Source organism: Homo sapiens, chromosome 11 (assembly GCF_000001405.40).
Source record: "Homo sapiens chromosome 11, GRCh38.p14 Primary Assembly".
NCBI classification, from domain to species: Eukaryota; Metazoa; Chordata; class Mammalia; order Primates; family Hominidae; genus Homo; species Homo sapiens.
Window position 1 is genome coordinate 4474131 of NC_000011.10, and position 22512 is coordinate 4496642.

Here is a 22512-nt window from a genome sequence, read left to right on the forward strand (position 1 = left end):
ACATGGGGTTATTGAGCACTTAAATTAGGTCTATTGAGCACTTAAATTTAGATGCTACTGAACACTTAATTTTTTCTGATTGAGGTATGAATTTTTAATTTTATTTTTGATGACTAGAAATAGCCACATTTGGGCAAGTGGCAATGCCATTAGATAGTATACTTCCAGATAAGTTAAACAGATTGTATGATTAATTGAGGCACTGGAATTGCAGGGTTCATTTGACTTATATAGTCACTTAAGCCAGAAAGTTCAACAGAAAATTTACTCATATGATTGGGAGTTTTGTTTGATTGGTAGGTTGAATGGTAACAATGTATGACCTAAATCAATTGATTTAAACATATTTTACTTGTTTGATCAAGATAATCCTGTCACCAAGAACACAAAACAATACCACTTCTGCATTCCTTTATGAGAACTGTTTAGTGGTATCAGGTCTATTGATATCTAAATATTTAGATGTCAGTAAAAATGAGAGTTTCTTGTGGGCAGGAACCATAGATTATGCTTCTCCATGTCTATGAGAACTTCTAGTGGATTTTGTTTAAGGACTAGGAATGGTAACAAGGGCTCATCATAGAAGGTGATTGAACTCTCTAATCCTATGTACCCTGGATACTCTTCCTAGAAGGTGAAGGAGCCTATGAAGATCAACAAGGAGAATTTCCAAGAGTCATGTCAGCCTCCAGTATCACCTCAACACATCCAACTTCCTTCTTGTTGATGGGGATTCCAGGCCTGGAGCACCTGCACATCTGGATCTCCATCCCCTTCTCAGCATATACACTGGCCCTGCTTGGAAACTGCACCCTCCTTCTCATCATCCAGGCTGATGCAGCCCTCCATGAGCCCATATACCTCTTTCTGGCCATGTTGGCAGCCATCGACCTGGTCCTTTCCTCCTCAGCATTGCCCAAAATGCTTGCCATATTCTGGTTCAGGGATCGGGAGATCAACTTTTTTGCCTGTCTGGTCCAGATGTTCTTCCTTCACTCCTTCTCCATCATGGAGTCAGCAGTGCTGCTGGCCATGGCCTTTGACCGCTATGTGGCCATCTGCAAGCCACTGCACTACACCACGGTCCTGACTGGGTCCCTCATCACCAAGATTGGCATGGCTGCTGTGGCCCGGGCTGTGACACTAATGACTCCACTCCCCTTCCTGCTGAGATGTTTCCACTACTGCCGAGGCCCAGTGATTGCCCGCTGCTACTGTGAACACATGGCTGTGGTCAGGCTGGCTGTGGGAACACTAGCTTCAACAATATCTATGGCATTGCTGTGGCCATGTTTATTGGAGTGTTGGATCTATTCTTTATCATCCTATCTTATATCTTTATCCTTCAGGCAGTTCTACAACTCTCCTCTCAGGAGGCCCGCTACAAAGCATTTGGGACATGTGTCTCTCACATAGGTGCCATCTTAGCCTTCTACACACCTTCAGTCATCTCTTCAGTCATGCACCGTGTGGCCCGCTGTGCTGCGCCACACGTCCACATTCTCCTCGCCAATTTCTATCTGCTCTTCCCACCCATGGTCAATCCCATCATCTACGGCGTTAAGACCAAGCAGATCCGTGACAGTCTTGGGAGTATTCCCGAGAAAGGATGTGTGAATAGAGAGTGAGGAATAAGTGGAAAAAGAGTGGGGCACAGTGAATGCTGTAGTGGGCCAGGGCTGTGCTGAGAGTAGATGGGTGCTAGACTCCACGTTTAGTTCTTTTCTTGTATTATGGAAAGAATAAATGATGTCCTGAAGCTCAGTGCCAACAGTCTGTTTAGAATTTGTGGGTCTTTGCCCTCTGGTAGCCTCTGGATTGAACCTGGTGACTGTGCTGTCTCCTCACAGAGCCCTGACTCCTGTCAGTAAACTTGACAGAGTCTTGACCCTCCGGCCTCATGGTGACTTTGCTGAAGGACACAAAGATGCTTCCAAGTTCATTTGCCTAAGAGAAGACTGTGAAAATCTGAATTTCCATCTCTGACTTGTTGGAAATTTGGTGAATTATCCACTCAGATTCCCGAGTTAGGACCTCTACTCCATCCAGTGCAGGAGTTCTGCTACATTCTAACAGTTGAACCCTAGACTCTACCTAAACACTGTCAGTGCTGGTGCACATGCATCCTTTAGGCCTATTTATTCCAAGTGAGACAGCTCTGCTTGTTAGAAGGTTATTTCTTCAACTAAGCCAGTCTGTATTCTTTGACTTCTTTTTACCTCCTCATCCTCATGGCTATTCCATCTCATTAAATACTTTGAAGAAAAACCATATCCTCTGACATTTTATTATATATCACATAACTCTTTCTTTGTGCATAGACGTATCTTATATTTTCAACAAGAATGTGAATTGTTTACTTATTTAATAATCTAGCCAAGTCTATGCTATCTGCTAGGGATACAGACTGTTAAGAAAGGGATGCTGGACTCATGTTTATGTCCTCAGACAGAGGATGGAATAATTCCAATGGTTTGTGTTCTCTAAACTCACCATTCCAAGGCCCAGCATAGAAGAAATATGAGAAGTCAAAGAAGATGAGATGTGGGCGTATTGACTTAGGTTTTGTTCTATTTCATTCAAACTTAGGTACTCAAGAATTCCCTTAATATTAATCCTGAGAACTGCACCTCTGATGCTCCCTCATACCGTGTCTTATGAGTTGAATTTTGTTCCCCTTTCCAATTTATATGTTAAAATCCTAACACCCAGCACTTCAGAATGTGACTGTATTTGAGGATGAAGTCTTTAAAGTAATACTTAAGTTAAAATGCGGTGATTAGGATGGGCCTTAATCCAATATGACAGGTGTCTATATAAGAAGAGAAAATTTGTACACAGACACAGGCAGAGTGAAGACCACGTAAAGATACAGAAAGATGGCCATGTACAAGCCAAGAAGAGTGGCCTCGGTAGCAACCAATTCTGCTTGGGTCTTGGACTTCTATCTTCTAGAATTGTGAAGAAATAAATTTCTGTTTATTAGGCCCCCCAGTTTGTATTACCTTTTATAGAAGCCCTAGAAAACTACTTTTGGCACCAGAAAGTAAGGTGCTACTGTAACTAATACCTAAAAATGTGGAAGTTGCTTGGAAACTGAGTAATGGGCTGAAGCTGAAAAAGTTTTGAGGTGCGTGTTAAAAAAGGCTAAGATTTCTTCGAAGAGATTGTAGGTAGAAATATGAATATTAAAGATGCTTTTAGTGAGGTCTCAGGAAGGAGGAACTGGAAGAAAGATGATCTATGTTATCAAATGAAAAAGAACTTGGACAAATTGTGTTCTAGTACTTTGTGGAAAGTAGAACTTGTAAGTAATGAACTTGGATATTTAGCTGAGGAGATTTCTAAGCAAAGTGCTGAAATTGTGACCCGGTTTGTTCTTGTTGCTTATGAGTGAGGAGAGAGATAAGTTGGAGAAGAATTTAAGCAAAAAGGAATCAGGAATTAAAGACTGAAAAATTCTCAGCATATCCATATTACAATAAATAAGTGTAATTTGGAAAGAATATCAAGGGTGTGGCTGGATAACCATTTTCTAAAAAGATTAGGTATATTAAATGAAATAAACCAGCACAGAATGACAAGTACTTCATGGTCCCACTCATATTTGGGAGGTAAAGAAAAGTCGGTGTTACAGAAGTAGAGACTAGAATAGTGGTTACCAGAGGCTTGGAAGAGTAGGGGGGAAGAGGGTATAGGGAGGAGTTGGTTAATGGGTAGAAAATTGCCCTTTGGGTAGAAGGAATAAGTTTTAGTATTCCATAGCACACTAGAATGACAATAGTTAATAATTTAGTATAGATTTCAAAACAGCCAGAGGAGTGGATTTTGAATGTTCAACACAATGAAATGATAAATATTTGAGGTGACAGATTATCTCAAATTGATTACCCTGATTTTATCATTACCAGTTGTATACATGTATGGAAATATTGCCTGCACCCTCTAAATATGTACAATTAATATGTGCCAATTTTTAAAAAAAGGATTAGGCATGTGTTTATGAATACAATCAGCCATCTCAGCAGAAGCCAGGAATAGAGATGGGGCTATGCAGGAAAGACTCACAGGAATCCCTTTTATCTGATAGTTTGGACCCCATGAATTGCATCAGAGACCAACATGCTTTTTGAGAATTTTATTAGCAGCAGAAATGAACAGAGTTAGGATGACATGAAAGAAGGTAGCTGGACTTCCGGGATTCCAGAGGATGGCCCAATACAGCTATTTAGCTGCAAACGTGCATTATCCTTAAAGAAAAGGGAGAACATACCCTAAGGTTGTTCAGAGGTTGGCAGGGATACCACTGCCACCACAAGCCCAAAAGACACAGATCCAGGAGGTTAGGCTGCCTCTTCCTTGGTTCCAGAGGGCAGAGCCAGCCCATTGGTTTCAGAAGGCCAGGGTGCCTCTAACCCAGGACTGAGGGATTAGGGCTGCTGTCCATTGAGTCAAAAAGGATTATTCTGAGCCTTAAATCAAGTGTAATTTGCCCTGCTAGGTTTTAGACTTATTTGTGACTCATAACACTTTTATTCTGATTTCTCCCTTTTTGAGTGGGAATGCCTATCCTGTGCCTGTTCTACCATTATATTTTGGTCACAGGTAGCTTGTCTGGTTTCACAGGTTTATAGATGGAGGGAAATTTTGCCTCAGGATGGATTCATACCAGAGTGTCACATAAACGATTTAGATATTACATTTAGATGAGATTTTGTATTTACAGTTAACCCCTGGAATTGGGGATGCTTGTATTTTGCATGTGGGAAGGACTAGACTTTAGGGAGCCAGAAGGCAGGGTGTTATGAGCTGAATTGTGTCTCCTTTCAGTAAACTCATATGTTGAAGTCCTAAACCCTAGTATCTCAGAGTAATATGACTGTATTTGGAGATAAGGTCTTCAAAGAGGTTAATTAAGTTAAAATGAAGTTATTAGGATGGCACTCAATCTAATACAACAGGTGTCCATATAAGAAAAGACACAAGGAGAAGATAATGTCCAAGCCAAGGAGAGAGGCCTCAAAAGGAATCAACCTTGCCACACCTTAACTTGAACATCTAGCTTCCAGAATTGAGAAAATAGGTTTCTGTATTGAGACCATCCAGTCTGTGGTATTTTGTTATTACAGCCTAGAAAATGAGTATATTTTCATACATCATCTTCCACAAATGCATTCTTGTACTTCATTTTTTGTGACCCCTTTCATTGTTTCCTCAGAGACTACTGTTTAGGAAGCATCTCTATCTCTCTCTATATTAGTTATCTTTGAAACAATCTCCAAGCATTTGTCAGGTGTGGTGTAGAAGGTTGGAAGCTGTGCAGGAGACAAGAGTATTGCAAGAACCTACACTCTTGCTTCCCCTTATATTCCATCACTGCTCCCATGAATCCCTCAGACACAAAGACAAATGCCTCATGTAGTCAACACCTCTTGATTATTTTGTCTGAGAATAGTTGGGGCAGGTGGGCAGCTAAAAAATAAACACTAAGTTGTAACCACATATAAACAAACATGGAAAAGAGCATGAATTTTAAAAGGTATTTCCAACAAGAGAAATCTTATTTTCCCATTGACTTATACGGGGAATAACATCATCCTTAAGGTCATATCTATCCCCAGTGAAGAAATAATTTTGTTCCCAGAACAAGTCCAGTAGTATAAGGATCCCATAGACAGGTAATATATCAACATAACATTAGCACAGCCAGGATTAGTCACAAATAGTAAAAGGAAAATTACCTTCTCTATGAGCTCATTTGAGTTTAGCACACAATCAAAACATGAATAAGAAATATGAGTAGCCTACAGGCACATATAATTTTATACCCATATAGATGGGTATATAGATTAGGATAAAGGAAACTTGATGCAGTTATCTAGGCCTAGATGCAATACTTCTAATCACTCAAAAACTAGGTCATCCCAACATTCCAAGCTAGGACACAGAGGTGCACATCATCCTTAAAGTAGGATCAATGCTTGAGTATAGGATCCTGTTCTGCCTAGCAACCCTCACAACACCTTCCCACCTACGTGTTCCTCAAGCAAGGAGTCTTGGTGTTATCTTTGATTTCTTTTTCTCTCACAGCCTGGAGCTAATTTTTCAGGAATTCCCACTGGCACTTAAAAAATAGATATAAAATCTGATACATCTGATTTCTCTCCATATATATGATTAACACATTGATTTGGAAACACCATCTTCTCTCTGGATGCCTACAATAGCATCTGTAATCCTTTCTCTGCTTTCATCCTCATCATCTTGTGCTGTTCCCATTAAGTCAGAAGCAATATCTAAAAAACATATGTCAAATAATGTCAATTCACTGCTCAACCTTGGCTTTTATTCCGAGAGAAATTATGAACCTTTGCAAAGTGAAATCCTTACATGGCTGATATGGTTTGGCTCTGTGTCCACACCCAAATCTCCTCTCGAATTGTAATCCCCACATGTCAGAAGAGGGGACCTGGTGAGAGGTGATAGGATCATGGGGGCAGATTTCCCCCTTGATGTTCTGTTTAAAAGCGTATGGCCCCGCCCCCATTCCCTTTTTCCTGCTCCGCTGTGGTAAGACCTGCTTGCTTCCCCTTCATCTTCTGCCATGACTAAGTTTCCTGAGGCCTCCCAGCCATGCTTCTGTACAGCCTGCAGGAACTGTGAGTCAGTCAAACCTCTTTTCTCCATAAAAGTACCCAGTCTCAGGTAGTTCTTCATAGCAGTGTGAGAACAGACTGATACAAAGGCCTACAATGTTCTGTGTGATCACAGCTAACTGGAAAAAAAAAAAAAGAAAGCAGCACCCAGGTATGGGTAGGGCACATTATATTCACAGGATCAACAATAAGACTGATATTAATAGATACTTGACTTCAAAAAAAGCAAGTGAAGGCAGAATACAATTAATATACTAAAGTGGATGAAAGAAGAATTGCCCATTTAAAAACCTATTCAAATTGAAATAGAATTTTAGACAGAGGCCCGGGAGGTGAGTCATCTTTCACAAACAAAGATGACTAAGATAATTTTACAAATGAGCAAAAGTTGATGGAATGTGTCACTATATGGCCTGTAATAAAAGCAAAAATAAAAGTAGTTTTTCATGCAGAAAAAAAATGATCCAGATGGAAACATGAAAAACCTGGAGGGAATGAAGAACACCAAAACAAAGATGCATATGAATGTAAAAGAATCTAGATTTTACAAAAGAAAAGATAGGGTGGGGAGGATGTCAATGAATTAAACAGTCTAAGTGTTCCAATATTCCAGCAGTTATCTCCAGCATGGTTTGAGCCAATGGCCCCACTGCCCACTCCCCCACTCCATGTGCTTCTTATCCTGCTCCTATGATGTCAGGATTGCCCATTCAGAATGGAGTTGGGGGCAAATTAAGGTGCTTTGTTCACAAAAACACTGTCTATTCTATCTGGCTCTTGTCTGGCTTTTATCTGGCTTTTGCCATATTAGGTTTTGGTGAGGTGCTTTTCATACAGGCTGTATCCCCTTGGCCTAGCTGTACATTGTTAAAACTATGTAGGAATTCCACTTTATCCCAGCATCCCAAAAGATCAGACTTATCATGGAGGAGTGCTGAGTCCACACCCTTGAGGGCCAACTATTACAGAAGGGGAAGTTAGTTCCAGGGTACCTGTGTGGGAAGGGAGTGAGATGACTGAGTTACAGCGTTCTGAGATTGCTTTTAAAAATTATGGGGAATTAGGGTAGACAAAATCCATGGAGAACTCTAGTGAAAAGCATCTTCTCAGGTCCTTGAAAAATAGCACACATTAAGTCAGCTGTAGGTAGAAAGATCACTCTTTATCATTTATAGATGATTGGTAATTTCCTAATTATTAATAAGGAATCACATTCATAGTGGCCTCTTGTTTATCTACTTAGATCCTCCTATCCTTGTGAGTTAGAAAATATTGTAAAAGTTATCTCTACCTTAGAGATAAGAAAAATAGATCAGGGATCAGACAGGTGCCAGATCAAGTTCACGAGCTGGTTATTAATGCATATCTCAGGCCAATATGAAATATGAATGCAAAATAAAATGCCTAATGGATGACCTTGGCCTGGTCAGGCTGGACTCCCTGCCCTTTCAAGTCAGTTCTGACAGGAGTTGCCTGCAGTGTATATTTTCTGATGAGGCTGGCTTTCTTTGAAGACACTGTAAGGATAAAGAGTAAGGAGAGGCACAGCAAACACCAAGACACAAGCCAGCTCCACCTGAAAGTCTCACAGCCTCTGGCAAGTAGGGCATGACCCCTGGTAGGCACAACTCAGTGCCACTAGCTGGGGAGGAGGCATGGGTTGTAGGAAACAAGGATACAGTCCCCTTGGGTCAGGGGAAGTCCCCTTGCATCAACCCAGAGAGAGGAGGCCAGAGATGTCTCTGAGGACTCTGCTCAAGTGCAGCAGTTTCTGCTTCCACAGCCTTCTGGGAGAAGGGCAGAGGTTGGTGAGGATTAAAGCCAGCTGCTCGCTTCCCAGCTTCCTCCTTCTAAGACTCCTTAGACTGAAAGAGGAAGGCGGCACTGGTGCTGCATGAAGCTAATGAAAAGGGCCCAGGATTGTAAGTCAGACTGAGGACTGTGGATACAGCTGCAACTTAGGGAAATAGAAAACAAGTGATGTTATTGGGGTGAGCAGGAAGGTGGGAGTGAGCTGGAAGGTGGGGGCACTGTCAATTTCTTCCCATAGCCATTCCTGATCTTAGGCATCAGCTCTCCAACCCTGTTATTGCTTCTACTCTGGTCCTTCAATAGAGGGAACAGAAGTCTCGATAGTCCCACCCAACTGTTTGGTACACAAACTCCAGATGCTCTCCCCACCACAGAGGATGCCTGCTTCCGTCCTATGCCAAACACTGTGGGCCATCTCCAAGAAGTCTTAGTTGATTATTCCAGTTTGGATCTGTCACTTCTCACCTCCTGTCATTGCTTTTTCTAACCCCTGGCAAATGCCCCATCCCAGTTAAAGGGCTTCTGCATTAGTCAAGAGGAAGAAAACGAGGCCTGAACTAGAAAGATGGCAGGGAAAGGTAAGAAATACCTTATCTTTGAGGTTCTTCTACCAGAAGCAGTCCTGAAGTATCTTGATTATGTGATTATCCTTCCTTGTCTGGTTCTAAGTTTTTCAGATATGTCATTCTGATATCCTTTTAAGATAAAGGTATAGGCAACCAAATAGATTCAGTATTAATTGAGTCCATTCTGGGTACAGAGGCCTTTTTTAAGGAGAAATAGAAGATAAATCCTTTGAGCATGGACATCTTAGTTCTGAAAACAATGAACAGTCTGGACAAAACTTGCACTACAGAGGAGGTCTTAGTTTCTGGATATTAGGGGAAGAAGACTGGCTCCATTCACACTCCTACTCAGAGCACTTCATTCTGAGGAGTTGATTTTAGATGAACTTCAAAGGAAGTAAGATTTATGAACTATTAGACACCCTGTCTTTTCAGGAAGAAATCTGATAGAAGAGATGCCTTTTTTTCTTGTATGAAGATGGGTAGACAGCTCACAGGGTGGTTAGTGATGTTTAAAAGTTGAATGGAGGAATCTAGGGGGACATGGAGACTCAAAGTAAAACATGTGGGTTTTGTGGAAAATACATATTGAGATAAGGTAAAGATGCAGCAGGTTTGTGGGATTATTTCACAGTATTTTAGAAGAGTTTCTTAGACGCCAGGCATGTTTCTAGGTACTGATATGTACTTGAAAATAAAAATGTCTGTTGTCATAAGAGCTTGTTCCTGACAAAAATGCACAAACATTATGAATATTTAAAATAGTATTTTCCATTAAGAAGAGAATTTTATTCTGATGCAGGTAACAAAGTATTGTAATCGGGATGCTTAGAACCTCCATTCTGGATGCATTTTAAATGAGAAGATAACCCAAATTCTGAGCTTAAATCACATGAGGGGAGTAGTATTCTGAGAAATATGTCTTCCAATAATCTAGTAGTCTGTTTTATTTAGTGAAATGTTCCACACCTATGTATGTTAGAGGCTGGGTTTACAGAAGGAAAATAGGTAGAGTTTCTTAACTCCAGTCCCTTCACTTCATGATATGGTGGGTAATTGTTGAAGGATAAATATTGGAGAACAAAGTGGAACTTTGTGTACTTGTTAGGATTCTTTTGTAGCAGTAGTTGCTGGGAGATGCTGTGGCTTGAACAAGGGTGATGGTGTTGGAAGGGTGGAAGTGTTGGAAACGCAATGGGCAACGTGGAGATTTACTATGTAGGATGATCCAGTGTGCTTGCTGATGATTAAATATGATGCAGGAAGAAAAGAGAAGAATCCAGGATGACTTGATTCTAGGTTGAGCAACTGGTTGGGCAGGATGTTACGTTCTGAGATATGGGCAGCACAAGAAGAGAAGTAGTCATGATTTCTGCCTCAGGCATGGCAGGTTTGACATATCTGTGAGGAAGATATGTGGGGATATCGAGTATGGAGTTGGATATCCTAGTCTGGAGCTTACAAGGAATGTAAGGTATGTAAATTTGTGTTTGTTTCAGGATATGTTTATATTCTCAATGATCAACCAGCAGACCACCTAGAAAGATGCAATATTCACGGTCTTTTCAGGAGCAGTATTCTCTTTCTTCGTCTAAGTTTCAACTTTTCCCCTACTACTGGATAATTTGCTTCAGCTAAAGACATGATACTTCTGTTCTAAAACACACAGACACACACACACACACACACACACACACACACACACAGTTGACTTCGCTTTCCATTTTAGCCAGTGCCCTATTTACTTGCTGTCCTTTGCTTCCAAATTCCTCAAAAAAGTTAGCCATGTTAACAAACTTCAATTCCCCTCTTATCTATTCTAACTCAGTCAAGTCAGGCTTTGCCTGTCTCTCTTCTAGCAAAATTGCTTTTATCAAGGTATCCAATCCTCTTGTGCAATTCTAAACACAAGGCCAATTGTGTTTTCAAGTTCTTTGACTCATCAGTAGCATTTTACATGGTAATAATCCACTTGTTAGTAAACTATATTCTATATACTAAGATAGTACATTATTTGGGGATGTTTCTATCTTAATAGTTTCCACTGTCAGTTTCCCTTGCGAATATCTCAGTGTGCTCCAACTCTTCTCCCATCCATTCTTAATGTTGGGATTCAGTTCTGGGTTCTCTAGTTCTCTTTTCTGTGAACATTTACTGTCTGGGCGATCTCAAACAGTTTTGTGGCTTTAAATATGATTTATTTTCTATACGTATTACCATATTCACTTGAATTTCTGATATCTCAAACTCACCATGTTCAAAAATTGAAGTCTCGAGCTCCTCCTTTCATGCTTTCCCCGTCTCAGTTGGGAGCAGCTCCTATCAGTGGTTTATGCCAAAAATCAGGGTGTCATCTTCGACTCCCTGTTGTCTCACTTCCTATATCTAACCTGTCAAAAATGCCACTGACACATTTTAAAAATATATCCCCAATCCTATTACTTCCCACTACATACACTGCTACCTTGATTCTGAGCCAATGTTCTCCCTTCCTTGGATTCCTGCAATAGTCTCCAGGTACTTTCCCCCAATTCTACCCTTCCCTCTTTGTGCTATTCTCCATCATAGATGCCAGGGAAAACTTTAAAAGTATAAGTCACATACATCTCCTCTCTGCTGAAAACAATGTCCTTGATTCTGAGAGAAATGGGGAACTTTTGCAAAGTCCACAAAGGCCTGTGGGGCCCTGTGTGATTTGGCCCCACTGTTCTGACCTGATTCTCCTGCTCATTTGCTTCATCCTACCTGTGCTGGCTGCCTGCTGATATTTGAATAACAGGTGTTTTTATGTCTTGGGGCATTTTCTCTGGCTGTTCCATTTTCTTAGACTGTTCCTTTCCCCTGGGTGACTCCTATATTCCAAATCTATTATGGTCTTCTCATGTCCTGTCATCTCCCCTTTTTGTTGTAGGCATTGTTGTGGGAACCATTCGAGTGCAGGTGTAGGTTGATAGCACCTTACTCAGCTGTATCCCACCTCCCACAGTTTCTCTGCTTTATTGCATGGGCACCTCAGGGATCTCATTGTGTTATTCTGGTACATGTATGGACCTGAAAATGCAAGGAAATCTACACTCCTTGGGTCATCCTTGACCTATGGGGTGTGGAAGCCAGTGGATAAAAGTTCCCCTCTTCTGTGTCTAGAGTGGACAATTCTTTGGTTCCTTCTCTATGGTTCTTCATGTGGAATTGGATTATCCATCTCAGTAAGGCAACTTTGGATCCATATTCTCTTTCCTGTTCCACTCCTTCATCCTATTCTTGTTCACTGTGTAATTGTTCTGTATATACCACTGGCATGAAACTTTAGTTTGGCATTTAAGGAAGTGAAGCCAAGTATTTCCTCACCTCATTCAATTTTTCTCAAATTTTCTAATAAGGTGTATAATGAGCTTTTTATTTCAAATTTCAACTTCTCCTGCTCCCTATCATGAAATGCCTATCATAACTGCCCTATTCCTTGGTTTTTAAATCACAACAATGAAACTTTGTATAATATGTAATTTAATCATGATGTCCTTTTATTATCCTTCTCCAACCTTTAGCAAACTTATTCTACTAAGGGATCCATCTGTTTTGTTCATAAATTTTTCCTTAACCTCTTCAGTAAAAATGTTTAAATAGTTGTCATTAAATTTAGTTAGTATATTTTCTGAATGACATGGATATAAAATTTGAAAAGATGCTTGAGAACTGTAGAAATGTAATACTTACAGTTAGGGCAGAAGCAGGAGAAGGAAGTGAGACACTCTGGAGCTGGGAAACGGGAATATGGTGGTACACGAGAAAAGTGAGTTTTAAGCAGGAGAGTGGTCAATTCAGATAAAAGTTGCTCAGCGGTCCAGTTGCATGAAGCCAGGTAAGTGATAAGGGCACCATCATCATGGAGGTCATTGATTGTCACAGTAAAAGGAATTTTTGGTTTGTGATGGGAATAAAATCCAGATTGATATGTTTCAAAACCAATTATCCTTGAGAGAGTTGAGATTGTAGACCTTTCTACATGTTTCACTGTAAAGAAAAGCAGAGGTTTGAATAAAGGGAGGAGGATTTAATGTCACGGTAGATTAATCAACATAAATAATTTTTTAAAAAGTAACAGTTCTACAGAAGAGAAATATAAGTGACAAAGCTCTGCACACTAAGGAATTATACAAAATGATTTTATACATAATCACACTTAACCTCCCTATACCCCTCAGATAAAGGGAAATAGCACTGAACTACCTTTAACAGAGAAGGAAACAAACTAGTACATAAGTGATTTGTGCAAGGTCTACCACTAGAATATGTGGCAGTCATGATTTCAGCCAATAACTTTAGATTCTAAACATTTTCCAAATGTTATGGAAGGAAGTTAGTTTTCAGTTTGGTTATGCTGGATGCAGGTTGCATATAGGGCATCTAGATGGAAACAATAAGCCTAGTTACTTAAGACATGGGAATCGGTAGAAAGAAGGACTCAGATATGGCTGTCTGACACTATTAGCTATAATATCTTAGAGCAATTATTATATTTCCCAACAGTTTCTTTTTGAAAAAGAGACCCAGTTTTTGTTTTCAATATTTACTTTGTTCTGTGACTATTAAGTGTTTGAAGTACATTATCTCATTTAATCCTCAAAAGAATCTCATTAAGTGGATCCTATATTTTATATTTTGTATAAATATATGTTTTATACAAACATATATTTTATAATTTTATAACAGTCTTGGTAAAAACTGGGTAACTCTAGTGTTTAAGGATCTGAAAAAAGAACAATGACCAGAACAAGATAAAAAGGTGAAAAATTGTTAACAAGAAGGATATTTGGAAGTCATAAGTCAGTCTTGCTAAAGATGAGAGCAAATTCTCCTGTGACAAAAAGAAGGAACTGGAAGACAGGTGGAGGGAGAGTCACATGCACAGGGAGTTTAACATGAGTTTCAGTGGAGAACCAAAAAAGGACGTTTCATTTTCTCCGTATGCTTGCAGCATGGCTGTATTTACAGAGACCTGTGAATACTGAGAAGATGTGAAAGATATACTGTAGAGCAGTGGTCTTAAACAGAAATTTCTACAATGATGGAAATATTCTTGGTAGTCACTAGTCACATGTGGCTATTGAGCACGTGAAAAGTATTTTGTATAAATGTGAAATTTATTAAGTATAAATTTAGGTTTACATAGTGACATGGCTAGTAGCAACCATATCAGATAAAGTAGTTTTAGGGAAAATATGCAGATTGTGTGATTAATTTGGGCATTAGAAACCAATGGGTTTGACTTATACATGGACTCAACTCAGATTTCAGGAGAGAAAATTGGCTCTTGCATTTGGGAATTTAGCTTAACTGAAAGGTAGAATGGTACCAATGTATGTGCTAAAGAAATGAATTGATTTAAACATATTTTCACTTTTTTCAAGGTATTCATGACATCACCAAGAACACAGAAAACACTACATATACTCCATTCCTTTATGAAAGTTGTCTTAGAATATTAAATATCCATAGAATTGATATCCCATCTACTCAATGAGATTCAAATTTCTTTGAGGGTAGAAAATATGGATTATACTTCTCCATGTCTATGAAGGCTGCTAGGTTATTTTGTTTAAAGTCTAGCAATGGAAACAAGAGGTAATCTTTGCAGGTGGGATAGCACAGGTTGAACTCTAATCATATATACTGTAGAAGGTATATATAGAAGGTGAAGAAGCCCTGTAAAAATTGACAAGGAGATTTCCAGGAGCCATGCTTCCCTCTAATATCACCTCAACACATCCAGCTGTCTTTTTGTTGGTAGGAATTCCTGGTTTGGAACACCTGCATGCCTGGATCTCCATCCCCTTCTGCTTTGCTTATACTCTGGCCCTGCTAGGCAACTGTACCCTTCTCTTCATTATCCAGGCTGATGCAGCCCTCCATGAACCCATGTACCTCTTTCTGGCCATGTTGGCAACCATTGACTTGGTTCTTTCTTCTACAACGCTGCCCAAAATGCTTGCCATATTCTGGTTCAGGGATCAGGAGATCAACTTCTTTGCCTGTCTGGTCCAGATGTTCTTCCTTCACTCCTTCTCCATCATGGAGTCAGCAGTGCTGCTGGCCATGGCCTTTGACCGCTATGTGGCCATCTGCAAGCCATTGCACTACACGACGGTCCTGACTGGGTCCCTCATCACCAAGATTGGCATGGCTGCTGTGGCCCGGGCTGTGACACTAATGACTCCACTCCCCTTCCTGCTCAGACGCTTCCACTACTGCCGAGGCCCAGTGATTGCCCATTGCTACTGTGAACACATGGCTGTGGTAAGGCTGGCGTGTGGGGACACTAGCTTCAACAATATCTATGGCATTGCTGTGGCCATGTTTATTGTGGTGTTGGACCTGCTCTTTGTTATCCTGTCTTATGTCTTCATCCTTCAGGCAGTTCTCCAGCTTGCCTCTCAGGAGGCCCGCTACAAGGCATTTGGGACATGTGTGTCTCACATAGGTGCCATCCTGTCCACCTACACTCCAGTAGTCATCTCTTCAGTCATGCACCGTGTAGCCCGCCATGCTGCCCCTCGTGTCCACATACTCCTTGCTATTTTCTATCTCCTTTTCCCACCCATGGTCAATCCTATCATATATGGAGTCAAGACCAAGCAGATTCGTGAGTATGTGCTCAGTCTATTCCAGAGAAAGAACATGTAGATGGATAGTTCTCTTTTTTTATCCCACTTGCCAAGTAATGAGAATGCTGGATTGGGGTTGAGGGGAAAAATCTAAATAGGAAAATTGCAGAGTATCTTTGACAATTCTCTAGTATGATAAGGAAAATGAGGTTTCATTCCTCACAGATCTACGAGTCAGGTCAAACCAGGAGTGCACCTATAGTCTGGTCTGATAGTAGAGGTTTGACCTTCCCATTGTCATAGACTCATCACATGGCTAAGGAAGACAAACCTCTCAAAGTGGTATTGTAATCTGGGTGAAAGACAGTAGGACCTTTATTGGCTGAGATTGGCCCAAACAGCTGAGTCACCCAAACAGGTGACTTCTTTATCCAGGTATGAGTGAGGAAATGTACCTCAAATTTTGTGACCCCAAAACCATTATTCCTTTTAGTACTGAAATTACCCCCATGTCTTTTCTGACAAGTACCCTCCACCCTTTGCCACTCTTTATAGCCTACTATCTCCCAATTTTATTTCTACAGTTAGACAGCTCCATTTATAAGTAGATCTATTTCTTCCATTAAGTCAATTCCTCTTTTACTTCCTTCCTGATAGACATGGCCAATTCCTTTAGTGAACATTTATCAAAAGAGTCCTCCGATGTTCCTTTTTATCAATTTATATCATGTATCTAGCTTTTCACTGCATGTCTTTTGCCTCCAAAATACTTAGTAATATTTATTAAATGAACGGATAGAAGAGCTGAATACTATCTTTGAACTATGAACCATGAAAAGAGAAATAACACCCTTCCCTCTTGAAGCTGAGATTTCTGAAAATAAGAAAATACAATACTGTCACACACTGCATAATGAAGTTTTGGTCAGTAATGGATCACCTATATGATGGTGATTGCATAACATTATAGTACCGTATATTTACTGTATGTTTTTTAACTTTTAAGTTACATGTACAGGTTTGTTATCTAGGTAAAGCCATGTTATGGGGGTTTTGTTGTACAGATTATTTCATCACCCAAGTATTAAGCCTAGTATTCATTAGCTATTTTTCTGTTTAAATACACAAATACTTATTGTGTTACAATTGCCTACAATATTGGGTTTGTAGCCTAGGAGCAACAGGCTATACCATATAGCTTAGGTGTATAGCAAGCGATACCATCTAGGTTTGTGTAAATACACTCTATGATGTTCACAGGTTGATAAAATCACCTGAGGACACATTTCTCAGAATGTATCCCCATCATTAAGCAATGCATGACTAGTTAGACATGATTGTAGTTGTGATAGACTGTATTACTGTCCACCAATATTTAGTCTCCTGTCCTTCTATCATGGGTAGGGTATTTCCTTCACTCCACGAATTTTAAACTTTGCTGTATGACTTGATTTGGCCAATGAAATTTGAGTAGCCCTGAAATGTACTTCGAGAATCAGAAAGTTTATTAAAAAAAACAGATGCTAGTGAGGTTGTAGAGAAAAGGAAACACTTATATACTGCTGGTAGGAGTGTAAATTATTTCACCCATTATGGAAAGCAGTAGGTGATTCCTCAAAGACCTAAAAACAGAAATACCATTTGACTGAGTGATCCTTTAGTGGGTATGTACCCAAAGGAACCTAAGTTGTTCTACCATAAAGATAACATGTATGTGTACATTCACTGCAGCACTATTCACAATAGCAAAGACACGGAATCAACCTAAAGGCCTATCAACAGTTGACTGGATAAAGAAAATGTGATACATATGCACCATGGAATACTATGCAGCCGTCAAAAAGAATAAGATCATGTCCTTTGCAGGAACATGGATGGAGCTAGAGGCCATTATTCTTTGCAAACTAAAAGGGGAATAGAAAAATAAAATACCACATGTTCTCACTTATAAGTGGGAACTAAACAATGAGAACACATGGACACAAAGAGGAGCAGGAGACACTGGGGCCTATTTAAGGTAGGAGGGAGAGGATCAGGAAAAATAACTATCAGGTACTACGCCTAGTACCTAGGTGATTAAAGAACTTGTACAACAAACTCCCGTGACACAAGTTTATTTATATAACACACCTGCACATGTACCTCTAACCTAAAATAAAAGTTAAAAAGGACACTATGATATTGGTGCAAAGATCGAATGGAAAGGAACAGAAAGACAAGAAGTTGCCTGGTCCATATAGACACGTGTTATTGCAGAGGTGTGTGATACATATGCACCATGGAATACTATACAGCCATCAAAAAGAAATAAGATCACGTCCTTTGTGGGAACATGGATGGAGCTAGAGGCCATTATTCTTTGCAAATTAAAGTGTGCATTAACTTTCCTGCTTTCTTTCCCCTCTGCTGCAAAACCCAGCAAAGTTCCAGTTAGAGGCTGTGACAAAGCCAAAGTCCACCCACAATGAGTAAGAAGTGTAAATGAGAAATTGTGTTTGAGCTGCTAAAAAAAAAAAATAAACTTTAAAATATGGCTGGAAAGCTTATCTTTCATTCTTTCCCTCTACCAGAAGAATAAGCGTATCACAGCCTAGACTCATGATGAAGATCCATGGAGCAGATGTGAATCTGACTCACTGCCTGTAGCATAGTCATAACTGACCCACAGTGTTCATATAACATGAACAAGGATGATTTTGTTGTTTTTGTAGTGAACCACTGAAATTTGGGAGTTGTTTGTTTCACAGCCTTACCCAAGGAGCACCAATTGCTGGAGTTGTGAGTTCTATCTTGCATTTCAACTCATGACAGCTCAAGACTGAATATTTAAAGGAAATACAGTCTTCTTACAGCATATCATAAAATTATTTCACTTATCTCTGCTTTTGTCTTTCAAACTCTCATAATGAACACTTCTTCAGTCAGTTCTACAAAAAGAAGCTCCCATACATACTTTTACATGATCTACTTATACTGTAGGGACCAGCCCTACAGGGTCTGTGAGTTTTTCCCCTTGTGTGCAGAGATGAGAGATCATAGAAATAAAGACAAAAGATAAAGAGAAGAAAAGACAGCTGGGCCTGGGGGACCAGTACCACCAAGATGCAGAGACCGGTAGTGGCCCCGAATGCCTGGCTGCACTGTTATTTATTGGATACAAGGCAAAAGGGGCAGGGTAAAGAGTGTGAGTCATCTCCAATGGTTGATAAGGTCACATAAGTCACGTGTCCACTGGACAGGGGGCCCTTCCCTGTTTGGCAGCCAAGAAGGAGAGAGAGAGAGGACAGCTTACACCATTATTTCTTCTATGCATTTCAAAGACTTTTAGTACTTTCACTTATTCTGCTACTGCTATCTGGAAGGCAGAGCCAGGTGTACAGGGTGGAACGTGAAAGTGAAACAGGAGCGTGACTGCTGAAGCACAGCATCACAGGGATGCTGGATGCTGTGGCCTCCAGATGGCTGTGGGTGGGCCTGACTAATGTCAGGCCTTCCACAAGAGGTGGTGAAACAGAGTCTTCTCTAACTCCCCCAGGGAAAGGGAGACTCCCTTTCTGGGTCTGTTAGTAACGGGTGTCTTCCCTAGGAACTGACTACTACTAGACCACAGTCCACTAGGTAATGGGTGCCTTCCCAGGCACTGGCATTACCGCTAGACCAAGGAGCCCTCTAGTGGCCCTGTCCGGGCGTGACAGAGGCTCACACTTGTCTTCTGGTCACTTCTCACCGCGCCCCTTTAGCTCTTATCTCTGTATGGCCTGGTTTTTCCTAGGTTATAATTGTAGAGCAAGGATTATTATAATATTGGAATAAAGAGTAATGCTACAAGCTGATGATTAATATTCATGTATCATCATATCTATAATCTATTTCTAGTATAACTATTCTGATTTTATGTTTTCTTTATTACACTGGAACAACTTGTGCCCTCAGTCTCTTGTCTTGGCACCCGGGTGGCTTGCCGCCCACATCTCCCCCCTTTTTATTAACTAGGATCACCATCACCATCATTGCTTGTCATTGACTTCGGACTTTTCCTCAGACTCTTTGGAGGCATCTGCAGGCTAAAAGTAGACAACACAAGCATGCCAATATTAATAATGCCAGGGACAACAATGATCCTCCAAGGGGTTTGATCCATTTAAAGGGATTAAGATCAGATAATCCTTTAGTTATTGTTTCAAAAATGTCTGAGCCAGGAACAGTGGTTAAATGAGCCTGTGAGGCCTCAAAAATTTGTTCCTAAGTTTTGAAATATCTAAGGTTAAGTTATCATCCCAGGCTTTTAAATGTCTTGAGACCTTTTCCCAGCTATGTTGATCTTTATTATAAGCATAAGGCGTTATGCAGTAATCAGAAGTATTCCAATCATGCTGTAATTGCATACAGCATTCCAAATTCGTAACTATCTCCCAGCCATATTACACTTTGGCAGAGATCATTAATTTGATTAGCTAATTTCTGATCAACTTGAGTCAGAATCCTAGAGTCTGGAGGAGTTTTCCTGCCATGCTTCAACATATTGAGCGGTTTGAACAGAATTGTGGGTTGCAACTCCAGTGGTTGCCGCTGTTGCAGTAACCAAAATTACACCTGCAATGACTGCAATAAGAGTAAAAATGAATCTCTTAGTTCTTTTGAAGATACCTTTAAGAACTTCATTGACTATGTGTATAGAGGGGGAAGACTCCCATGGATGATGTAAAGAAACTGGTATCCATACCCCCTCGCTCCCCAGCCCTTACCAAGAGAATACTTGTTCTGGGATTAAAAGTAGCATCAATGCACGTGAACAGCTTACAGTTATCACATTCTATAGTTTGTGTATTGGGAATGATAATTGTATTTCCAACCAACAGCATATGAGGGGGTTTGACACATCTCATGATAGGTATCACCCGTTTAGACATCAAGGTGATGTTGAATATGGGTGTCTTGGTATTAGTAGCAAAGAGTTGATAGGTAGTGTTCCATAGCCTTATTCCTGTCATGGCTGCAGCTAATTTCCATAATTCAGGATGTTCTGGGGTAACAATTGGATGAATCATTTTTGGTCTAGGAGGAATGATGCCTGTGTACATCAATTTAAATGGGTAAGGAGCTACCCATTCCCTCAACCTGTAGGACTGCCATCCGTCCTCTACATATTCTAACAAATAAACTCTGAGCATGTCATATTTTGGCTGGAGCAATTCCGCCAATAATAAATACCCTCTTGGAGCCCAGTCAACAACAACAACCGTAGGTAGAGTTTGGAACACTACGGGCTTTGAAGCATTACAATCATTCCATACAATTGAATTTACTAAAAAAGGTCCCTTTGTAGGTTTATTGGAGCAGTCTGGCAGTCCTTTTGTTATTTTTTGTGGTAACAGGAACCCTCCAGTCCTCATGTGGATTAAGTTTAACAATCATAAGTTGAAAAGAGTTGGTACTGAACACATTATGTACCTGATAAGAATCATTACTCAAGGATGGTATGGTCCACATCCAATTCTGATAAGAATAAGCTAAACAGCCAGGTGACATTCCAATGCACAGTGGTGGATATTTATAGCCGATTGACAAATTAAAGTGCACATCTCCTTCTGGTTGAGCTGGAAAGCTGTCATCATTAGGGGCTGGCATGAAGGCACTATTATTAGTGTAAACTTCTACTGAGGAGTCCATCCAGGAGACAGACTGAATTAAAGGGGGAAAAGGAACATATGTGCAAGAAGCATAATTTTGAGTTGCCCCAACTGCTGGTATACTCACCACTACACTGACTACCATAAAGGCAGCCAGAATTATATTACCTGTTTTTGGAATTCCTTTTTCTTGTAGTAATTTTTCCGTTTGATGTGATAAGACCTTTATTTGACCCCATGTTGGTGGAGTAGAATGACTGGTATTGTAGGTCACACGGTGAGATTGTGTCATAATGTTGAGGTCATGGAATTTATGTGTCAGGCGGCAAAGCTTGCCTTTCAATTTCTGACGTTTCTTCGCCTTTTGTTTCTGAGAGCTTTTTATCTTTGAAGTTATAGTGCAATTTCAGTTGCCGGGAGGGAACCCACACGGGTTGTTGTCCTTCTTTTGGGCAAACACAGCAAAACCCCTACCCCATGTTACCACAGTGCCTGATTCCTGTTTGTCAGTTTTGCATCTTTCCACCATACCCGCTTTTCCTTTTTGTGGATCAAATTTATTTCCAGTGAAATGTTCTGCTGCTGTAAAAGGTTGATTTCTTACTAAATTTAAGAAATTTAGTGTAAAAAAGCAGCACTAGTGTAGCCGGGGCCGTCATTAGTTTTTAGTTTCTCGGGACAGCCCATAACTGAGAAAGATGAAAGTATGTGTCGTTTAACATGAACCATATACTTTCCCTTGTTTGACAAGTGACCCAGATAAAATGAGAAAAGGTGTCAATAGTTAATGTATAAAAGAGAGTTTGCCGAAAGCAGGATAATGAGTCACATCCATTTGCCAGAGAGCATTTTGTGAAAGTCCTCTAGGATTAACTCCTGAAGAAAGTGGCTGTAACATTAACACTTGACAAGTAGGACAGTGATGTACGATGGTTTTAGCTTGTTTGCCTGTAAAGGGGAACTTTTTCCAGAGTCCTGCAGCACTGACATGAGTTAAAGCATGAACATTTTCTGCATCTGTAAAAACGGGAGCAACTAATGTATCAGCTTTGGCATTTGCTGCCGAGAGGGGTCCGGGGAGGGGTGTGTGAGCCCGAATGAGTAATGTAGAAAGAAGACCTTGCTGTGAGTACGGATTGAAACTTTTGGAAAAGAAAAATTAGGTTATCAGGCAGAAGTTTGATTAAGGCAGTTTCAACGTTGCGAGCAACATGTACTACATAGGCCGAATCAGAAACGATGTTAA

General features: G+C 40.3%; 1 protein-coding gene and 1 pseudogene across 2 annotated transcripts, besides 2 other annotated features; both read left to right on the top strand.

Moving 5' to 3' along the window:
• On the top strand, positions 680–1626 carry OR52K3P (olfactory receptor family 52 subfamily K member 3 pseudogene; annotated as a pseudogene).
• Positions 8516–19367, top strand: OR52K1 (olfactory receptor family 52 subfamily K member 1). 2 transcript variants are annotated; one of them, NM_001005171.3, is made up of 2 exons: positions 8516–9046; positions 14443–19367. In NM_001005171.3, the coding sequence occupies exon 2, from the start codon at positions 14771–14773 to the stop codon at positions 15713–15715; it is 945 nt and encodes a 314-aa protein (NP_001005171.2). In that variant the 5' UTR covers positions 8516–9046; positions 14443–14770; the 3' UTR covers positions 15716–19367. The 2 variants fall into 2 exon arrangements, with proteins under 2 accessions (NP_001005171.2, NP_001372665.1); NM_001385736.1 differs by having other exon boundaries at positions 14823–19367.
• Positions 18950–19199: an enhancer, noted in NCBI's record as "active region_4324". NCBI's record gives its function as "activates an Ori minimal core promoter by ATAC-STARR-seq in GM12878 lymphoblastoid cells {active_cell/tissue: GM12878}" and the evidence as "EXISTENCE:reporter gene assay evidence [ECO:0000049][PMID:35858748]".
• Positions 21016–22215: an enhancer, noted in NCBI's record as "BRD4-independent group 4 enhancer chr11:4516376-4517575 (GRCh37/hg19 assembly coordinates)". NCBI's record gives its function as "activates an origin of replication core promoter dependent on BRD2, P300/CBP, MED14 and CDK7 cofactors, and independent of BRD4, by STARR-seq in HCT116 cells {active_cell/tissue: HCT116}" and the evidence as "EXISTENCE:reporter gene assay evidence [ECO:0000049][PMID:35650434]".